Source organism: Homo sapiens, chromosome 8 (genome assembly GCF_000001405.40).
Source record: "Homo sapiens chromosome 8, GRCh38.p14 Primary Assembly".
NCBI classification, from domain to species: domain Eukaryota; kingdom Metazoa; phylum Chordata; class Mammalia; order Primates; family Hominidae; genus Homo; species Homo sapiens.
This window is the reverse complement of record NC_000008.11, coordinates 49,731,786-49,741,801: the sequence shown is the minus strand read 5'-3', so window position 1 is coordinate 49,741,801 and position 10,016 is coordinate 49,731,786. Positions and strand designations below refer to the sequence as shown.

General features: G+C 38.5%; 1 pseudogene; it reads left to right on the top strand.

The window, feature by feature from the left end:
• PSAT1P1 (phosphoserine aminotransferase 1 pseudogene 1) lies at nucleotides 396–2,601 on the top strand (annotated as a pseudogene).

Genomic DNA, 10,016 nt, shown 5'->3' with positions numbered 1-10,016 from the left:
AACGTATTTTATTCTAAATAGCAAAATACTTTCATAAAGAAAAATGAAAATTCAGAAATTAGGCTGGATAAAAGTTTTATATACCAAAAACAGCACACTATACAGTTGAAGGATACAGACCCGAAATTCAGGCTAGACAGTTTGACACACCAGACATGTGCCTGAGCTCTCTGATCTTGGGCAAGTTACAGAGCATCCCTGAGACCCAGTTTTTTCATCTGGGGAATGGAATGGAGATGATGATAGCACCCACCATTGGGTTGTTAAAATAAATCGTTTATGTAATATTTATAAATTGTTGAATATCATTTGATCATATACATAAGCATGTGTTTTATGCACACTGTTTTTTGTTTTTTTTTTTTTTTTTTTTTTTTTTTTAATTTCAGAACAGTCAGACTCGCACCGCAGCGGCCGGGAACGCTCGCAGTTCACATGCTCAGTCCTCCTTGGCTGACTCGCCACACACGCTGCCGCAGCATGGACGCCCCGAGGTAGGTAGTCAACTTTGGGCCTGGTCCAGCCAAGCTGCCACACTCAGTGTTGTTAGAGATACAAAAGGAATTATTAGACTACAAAGGAATTGGCATTAGTATTCTTGAAATGAGTCACAGGCCGTCAGATTTTATCAAGATTATTAACAATGCAGAGAATCTTGTGCGGGGATTGCTAGCTGTTCCAGACAACTACGAGGTGATTTTTGTGCAAGGAGGTGGGTCGAGCCAGTTCAGTGCTGTCCCCTTAAAGTTGATTGGCTTGAAAGCAGGAAGGAGTGCGGACTATGTGGTGACAGGAGCTTGGTCAGCTAAGGCTGTAGAAGAAGCCTGGGACTATAAATATTGTTCACTCTAAACTTGGGAGTTATACCTAAATTCCAGATCCAAGCACCTGGAACCTCAACCCGGAAGCCTCCTACGTGTATTATTGTGCAAATGGGACGGTGCGTGGCGTGGAATTTGACTTTATACCCGATGTCAAAGGAGCAGTACTGGTTTGTGACATGTTCTCAAACTTCCTGTCGAAGCCAGTGGATGTTTCCAAGTTTGATGTGATTTTTTCTGGTGCCCAGAAGAATGTTGGCTCTGCTGGGGTCACTGTGGTGATAGTCCGTGATGACCAACTGGGGTTTGCCCTCCGAGAGTCCCCTTCAGTACTGGAATGCAAAGTGCAGGCTGGAAACAGCTCCTCGTACAACACGCCTCCATGTTTCAGCATCTACATCATGGGCTTGCTCCTGGAATGGACTAAAAACAATGGAGGTGCTGCTGCCATGGAGAAGCTTAGCTCCATCAAATCCCAAATGATTTATGAGATTACTGATAATTCTCAAGGATTCTACGTATGTCCAGTGGAGACCCAAAATAGAAGCAAGATGAATATTCCGTTCTGCATTGGCAATGTCAAAGGAGATGATGCTTTAGTAAAAAGATTTCTCGATAAAGCTTTTGAAACTCAATATGTTGTCCTTGAAAGGGCACAGGTCTGTGGGAAGCATCCAGGCCTCTCTGTATAATTCTGTCACAATTGAAGATGTTCAGGAGCTGGCCGCCTTCATGAAAAAATTTTTGGAGATGCGTCAGCTATGAACACATCCTAACCAGAATATACTCTGTTATTAAACAACATACAAAGTTTAAAGTAACTTGGGGATGGCTACAAAAAGTTAACAAACACAGTATTTTTTCTCAAATGAACATGTTTATTATAGATTTTTCTTTTTTGAAAGAACAACAGCAAAACATCTACAGCTCTGCAAAGCTGGTGTGAAGTAATGTTCACCTTAATTCTGATTTGAACTGGAAGCATTTTCAAAAATCTCATTGCTTTTCTAACAAATTCCAGCTTATTTTGCCTTTGCTGCTACTCTTTCTAGTTAGATTTAAAAGCTTCCTGTGGATATAATAATGCAAGTTGCAATTAAGTATTTCTGGAGTCATGGGAACACACAGCACAGAGGTAGATGGGGCCCTCTAGGTGCTGAATCTAGACATCTGTGGGGTCTCCTGGGTTCAGCGGCTGTTGATTCAAGGTCAACATTAATCATTGGAGTAGTGGTTTAAGAGTACCAGGCAAAGGGAAAACTGTAGATCAATGTTTATACTGTTATTACAAGAGAAGTTACATACTTTATCTATGTTTATATTAGCAAGGTGTGTTGTTAATACCATATGCTTTATATTTCTATGAATTTATATTTCTAATAATACGGTTATCACTGATACATGTAGAGACTTTTAGAATTTATTAAATCCTTGACTTTGTGCATCATAGCATTCCATTAGTAATAGTTTCACCCCCTCCCTAGTCTTCCCCTTCCTCTTTTCAAGCTGTTTTATGAAAAAGATCTAGAAGTTCTTGATTCATTTTTACTGTTATTTCCATAGGTAGAAGATAAAGTTGACAGGTTGGTTGTTTTTTAATTATGCCATTAAACTAAGCACTTCTGTTAAATAATCTTATCCTTTCTTTTCTTGACTGTTTTCTTTGTAATGTTTAACGACGACAGTGATACTTTGCTGAAAAGTCTTTCCCCTATTGTTTATCTATTGTCAGTATTTTATGTTGAATATGTGAAGAACATTAAAGTCCTAAAGCATCTAAAAAAATTTTCAGAACACTTTCACATAGACAGAAATGTTGCAAGGATAGTACAAAGTGTTCCCATGTACCCCACATCTAGTTTCCAGTATTACTGACATCTTTTATTACAAGTGTTCATTTGTCTCAGCTATTCAGATTGTATTCGTTTTTACCTAATATGCTTTTTCTATTCCAGGATCTCATTCATGATACCATATTTCATTTATTTACCTTGTCTTCTTTGATGATACAAGGAAGTATCATCAAATACTCCTTTGATGTGTCATGACAGTTTCTCAGACTTTCCTTGTTTAATCTGACATTGACAGTGATAATTTTGAGAAGTACTGGTCAGGTATTTTGTCCTTCATTTGGGGTTTGTCTAATGGTTTTCTCATGATTAGACCAGAGTTAGGGGTTTGGTTCACAGAAACAAAACCTTTGAGGTAAAATGTCATTCTCATCACGTTATCTCAAGGGTACACACTATCGGTGTGACTTACTACTGATATATGGAGCTTGGTCACCTGGCTGAGGTAGTGTTTGTCAGGTTTTTGCACTGTGAAGTGGCTTTTCCTCATCCCATCCTTTTCATACCATACGCTATAGAAGAAAGCTATTATGCTTACACTTAAGGGATAGGGGGTTATGTTCTTCCTCCTTGAAACTAAAACATCTACATTAATTATTTGGACTTCTTCTGTACAAGAAATTTGTCTTCTTTCTCACATATATTACTTACTCAATCATTTATTTATATCAGTATATATACATGAATTTTATTTTATACTTTGGCTATAGTACTTTTTTATTTTCGTGATTAACTTATTCCATTTTTTGGCCATCTTTTAGTTGACTCTGTGGCCCCTACCTTCACTGTTTTCTTTCTTTTTTCATTTAAGTACTTTCTTGCTTCCTGGCATGAAAAGATGCTCAAGGTATCTTGTCCAAATGTGGCCATACTGGGGTAATTTGTTAGTGCCATTTTAGTAGGACTTGAATATTCTCTAGGCTGGAGTATTCAGTCTCTTCTAAGGAAAAGCACAGCAATATAAAAAGTCAAGAGCTTTGGAATCATTCAGGATAGAAATCAAATACTGACCTGACTATTGCTTACGTGACCTTGAGCATGTTATCTCCTCTTTTAATCTCAAAAATATTATAAGCCCTTCCTCACTTTGGAATATGAATAGAAGTAGCTGTGCTGAGATTTCAAGTTCAATTCCTGAGTTTCTTTACCTAAAATTTTCCTTGAAGAATAAGCTGAAATATATTTGTGAATTTTTAAATGATTGAAAAGTCAACAAATGCTAAACTTAATTTTAGAGAAGTATGAAGCACCAATTCTAATTGAATAATTTAACATTTTTGACTAAATCCAAAGAAATGATTGGTCCTAACTATATGTTGGTGGCATTTTTGTAAACACATAAACAAAAATAAATTATTGGCAGACAAAGTCTACAATAGAGAAAGAATGAGTGCCTGCCATTAAGGATGATGTGACAATTCAGAAAAATTGGAATTTCTGGGTTTAATCATAAATTGTTGTTTGACCTTGGCCATGTCATTTCTCTTCTCTCTTTTAATTTGCTTAGGTGTAGAACAAAGTTAACATATCATCCATTCAAATCTCTTTGAATGGGAATTTATGTGTATTTATGAGCTAATGATTAAATGTCATATGAATTACTAAGATGAAGTAATATTCAGACATGACAGCATTGCTTGTTCTCATTATATGCCAGATAAAAATAAGATTTTCTTGTACATTAGTTCTCTTTGATGCAAATACTACTTTAATTTACCTGGCATGTTGCTTCTCAAACTTTCTGTCTTCCACAAAGCCTTTATTAACTCGGTTTTCTTTTTTATATCTTTTCATTCCTAGAATTGAACACACCCAATTATTATTTCTCTTTATTCTTTTAATGTAATCTAATTCTTAATTTAATGGATATTTCAATGTAATAATACAATATTTCACCTCCACATGCAATTGACAAAGTTCTTATGAAAGAATCAACATTCAACCAATATTCCATGAGTTCAAGAGACATTGATTGACATCCTTCTAAATAGCTCAACGGCACCGCTCTGAGCAGTGAGCTTACTGTGGTGAATGAACAGGAGGAAATACCTGCATTAATGATGCTAAAGGGAGTTAGAGAGGGTAAACAAATAAAAACCACTATCAGAACATATGTGGTGAGGAATGCTGAACACAGGAAGGAAGAAGCAGGTGAGGAGACCCATTCTATCAGGTGTGGAAGGAGGCTGATTTTCACAGAGGCCTGAAGAGACGAGTGAGGGTGCCCTGAAGATTCTTGGGTGTACCACCTTCCCCAGGAGGTCCATACAGGGCCGAGGCCCTGAGGCAAGACCATGCTGCACAGGTATGAGGACAATCACGGAGGTCATGAGGACTGAGATGACAAAGAAAAGCTTTTTAAGTCAATTGCAGCAATTTCCATTTCTCCCCCATCTCTAAAATGTTTGACAATTCCCCTATGCTGATTTAGTCAGTGCATTTTCTGTTATTTAGTGATACTTATTTCCTGCTTAACAGAATACCTGGCAAAGTAAGCTTCATTCACATGGAATTCTGGAAAAAGAAGTAAAGTAATCAAGAAGGGTTTCAAGATTCAGAAGGCAGAAAAAAAAATGCCAAATACTGAATTTAAAAGCTCGTTACTGGTCATTAGAAAGCACTGAATGATTTAATATCATAATGTAGATGGAAGACCTAGCACAGTAGTTTGAAGGATAAATGCGAGAAACAGAAAGATGAATAGGAGACAGACAAAGCAATAGCTGAAAAACAAGTTAAGATTTAGGAAAATCCTATATGTACATATTTAGAAAACAAATAAAACTTTGTTGTTGTTGTTGTTGTTGTTGTTGTTTGTTTTTCTGATAGGGAGTCTCGCACTGTTACCCAGGCTGGAGTGCAGTGGCGCGATCTCTGCTCACTGCAAGCTCCGCCACCCGGGTTCACACCATTCTCCTGCCTCAGCCTCCTGAGCAGCTGGGACTACAGGGGCCTGCCACCACACCCAGCTAGTTTTTTGTATTTTTAGTAGAGACCGGGTTTCACCATGTTAGCGAGGATGGTCTCAATCTCCTGACCTCGTGATCTGCCCACCTCAGCCTCCCCAAACTTTTATTACAACATATATTTGTGTGTATATATACATATATATATATACAAAGTATTGTAAAGACAGTTTAATAAATTTTACAAAGTTATATTGAAGTTAAAATAATATACAAATGAATCTGTAAATTTAACATTTTATTTGAGAAGAAACAATGGCATTTGGAGGCATGCATAAAGACCGAGTATTTTTTGTATGTCTAAAGGACAAAAAGAAGGTTGGAAGTGTTCTTAAGAAGATGAAGTTTACATGCGGTCCTGAGAGAAAGTTCATTAGGACTAAGTGAGCTCTGAGGAGTTGGCAAGCTCCATTGGTGGGTGACTAGTTGTCAAAATCAGTCCTAGAGTTGTAGCATACTATCCTAGCAGCCATAGATAAAACTGGTCTCAGCTTACAACAGGTAATTTTAGCCACTGGATTTTTAGACAATTACATTTCCAAAGCAATGTTATGTACCCTGAGCACTTTTCACTCCTGGCCCCTGGATTCTGATTTAGTTGGTTATAAAAAGAATGACCCAATTCAGATAATCACCTTTCACAGCACACCAGATAAACAGAAAACTGCACCAGCCATCCTGTGCCTCCTCCCAGACATTACCTACCCCAAAATAACAGTCTCCTGAAGTCAAAAATCACAGATACGCTTTTCCCATATGTGGAATTCATATGAATGGAAATATAGGGTATATACTCTTTTGTTCAACATTATGTTTAGGATATTTATGCATATGGTTTTGTATAATTATAGTTATTGCTGTCTGAATGTTCCATTGGTGAATGGAGCATGTTGCACTTATCTGTTCCACTGCTGATCAGCATTTGGCCTGTTTTCTCTGGGAGTTTGGATAATACTGGAGTAAACATCCTTGTAAATGTGTGTTAGGCATTTAACTAGGAGTGGATTTCCTATAATGTAAGACTGGCACGCGTGAACCTTTAGTAGATACTGCCAAAATGTTTTCCACTATGGTTGTATAAATTTACCCTCCCACTTACTGTGTTGAGAGTTCCAGTTACTCCACAAAGTTATAGACAACGAGCTTTGTCTTATTCATTTCAGCCTTCCAGATGGGTATGTAGTGTCATAGCCTGTGTATTTGTTTTAATAGAAGGGGAAGAGTTACTTTTATTATTTGTGTTTGTTTTAAAATATTTTTATATTTTTAACTGGTTTCTTGCATAAATTTTAGCCAGAAATAAGTGGCAAAAATAGTACAATGCATTTTTCTATATCGTCACTCAGCATCTCCAAATTTTCACTTTCCATGCAACAACAACAAAATTACTATAATCAGGAAATCCACATCAATGGGATACTACTAAATAGTCTAAAAATCACATCCACATTTCTGATTGTTCACTAACGTCCTTTTCCCGGGCCAGAATCCAATTCAGAAACAACATTGCACATTGATGTGCTAACTCCACAGCCTCCCCCAACTTGATCCCGTTCCTCAGTCTTCCCTTACGCTGTTGAAGAGAATTGGCCAGTTATCTTACAGATTGAGCTTCAGACTGGGCTTTAATAATGTTTCCTCATGATAAAATTCAGGTTATTAATTTTGGGGCAAGAAAACCACAAAGTAGCATTGCCTCCTTCTCAGTACACACATCTCAGTACACACACATGGGTCAGTGACACTGCCTATGGGTCATATCCTTTTGACTCACCTGGTTAGGGTGTTGTCCAACAGTTTTCTCCATTGTAAAGTTATTATTTTCCCTTTGTAATTAGTAAGTATCTTATGAAGAAGTACTTTGAAACTATGAAAATTTTCTGTTTCTAATAATTCTTTTGGCCACTAATTTTATAATTATTTCATCAATGAACATACATTGTTTCACAGTCTGATACAGTTAAATGTGGACCTATTTTCTTTTTTCTCTCTCTCTTTTTTTGAGACAGAGTCTCTCTCTGTTGCCCAGGCTGGAGTGCAGTGGCACCATCTTGGCTCACTGCGACCTCCACCTCCCAGGTTCAAGCGATTTTCTTGCCTCAGCCTCCTAAGTAGCTGAGATTACAGGCATTCACCACCATGCCCAACTAATATTTGTATTTTTAGTAGAGACAGGGTTTCACCATGTTAGCCAGGCTGGTCTTGAACTCCTGACCTCAGGTGATCCACCCGCCTCAGCCTCCCAAAGTGCTGGGATTACAGGGATGCACCACCGTGTCTGGCCCAGATGTGGGCCTATTTTCTGAAGTTCTCTCTTTGAAATTATTCTTTAAGGTCTGGTCCAACCCCAGGAGGGATCTTCTTAGCTATCCATTTTCCTAGGTCTTTGCCGATTTTGTATCTGGCTTACAGTATAGCTTGTCTTCTCAGAGCTTCCAGCCTCCTTATAATTGTTTATCACCATGGTCTCCACTGTTTGTAAGCGTACCCTATTTCCTACTTCCCCGCATTCTGTTCCAAATGAAGTCAGTTTACTTGAGGAGAGCAGTGGAGCTCCCTTCCATTTTGACCCACTCTCCTCGTGCACACAGCTCTGCATCACAGCTCCACAGCAGGGCACAGGGAGAGTGGCCCACTTTCTCAGTGACACACTTGCTTTGTGAGCTGGTCGCTGTGCGAGCAAGCCTGTCTCTTTTCTTCTGGCTTGCTTCTCTTGGCAGGGACTCTGCCCTGTAAATGAGCTAGGGCAAGGGCTAGCGGGGCCCCATTATTCTTGGTCTGCCATCCCTGTTGTTGACCTTGGTCCTAGCAGTGGGGGTGTGGAGGAGATATCCCCCCTCCCAGCTGCTCTTGCTTCAAAGTCTATTTAGCCCAGCTAGTAGGATGAGAAATTTTGGCAGCCTGCTCCTTCTTGTGAGTTACTACAGCCCTCAGCAGGAAACTGGTGGGAAACCTGTGTTTTCTGTGGCTGCTCACATCCTGGGGGGATACTTGTATAATGCTGGTCTGGGTGTGGGCAGAGGTAGAGCAGATCCTGGCTTTGATACACTTCCTGGATACACTTCACTGACACTGATACACTTTGTTGACATTGATCCTGACATTGATGACAACAATGATTGCAATGTTGTTATTTCACAGTTTAGTTTTAAGCATGTTTAAATTTAGTTACATATTTTATATTTTGTTTTAAATATTTTGAAACCCTACAGAACAGTATTGTTTAGAGCCAATATTTATTAATATTTCACACATGTATTATTTCCATTGTTTTCTTCCTGAATTTCCGTGTTTCATCAATGATAATTCTTTTTTTCTGCTTGTATGTTAATAGTTAATTCTGTTTTTCTTTCTTTGTAATCATCATTATTTTGAAGGATTTGTGGTTGTGTCCGTACAATACCTTCAGGAAATCTTCCAGTTTTCACTATGTTGGTTGAAGTTCAGTATGGGTAGTGATGATGATTTTCTTTGTGATCCAATTTCATAGGCTACTCCTATGAAATAGGAGTAGGAAATAAATCCTACCTCACTTTCTTCCTTTAATTCCAGCACCAACAACCTGATGTATACACGAACAGGGTCAATCAACCACATAGTTTTCTAAAATCTTAAATAATAATATTTTCTTTTCCCATCATAAATATTTCCAAATATCACAGTCTTTTATTTCTATTAAAACATCTCTTTTGGCCGAGTGCAGTGGCTCTTGCCTGTAATCACAGCACTTTGGGAGGCTGAGGTGGGCTGATCTCTTGAGGCCAGGAGTTCAAGACCAGCCTGGGCAGCAAAGTGAGCCCCTGTCTCTACAAAAAGTAGGAAAATTAGCGAGGCATGGTGGTGTGCACCTGTAATCCCAGCCACTTGAGATGCTGTGGCAGGGGAATTGATTGAGCCCAAGATGAGGAGGTTGCAGTGAACAGAGATCTCGCTGTTACACTCCAGCCTGGGCGACAGAGTGAGACCCTGTCAAAAAAAAAAAAAAAAAAAAAAAAGAAGAAGAAGAAAGAAAGAAAGAAAATGAAGGAAGGAAGGAGACCTCTTCCTTCAAAACCTAGCCCCCTCGCTAATTAACTGCTACATTTATATTCATCCTACCTCCCATTATGCAGTTCAGCGGGTCAGATATGGAAGAACATTAATAAAGAGGCCTCTTTTCCAAAATACTTAAAGGTAATTTATCAGAAAGACGTTACTCATTGTGCCACGGGATATTACTTCCGACTAGTTTTGGAGGGGGATTACCCTTTTCCATATCTCCTGTATTTTCCCCCTCTCTTTTGAATGTAACAACTTGTTCAAGTCCCTCCAATATTTAAATGAGTGTTTTTATTTTACTCAAATTTTTCTTTTCTTCATAGTCAATTATTAGGCAAGCG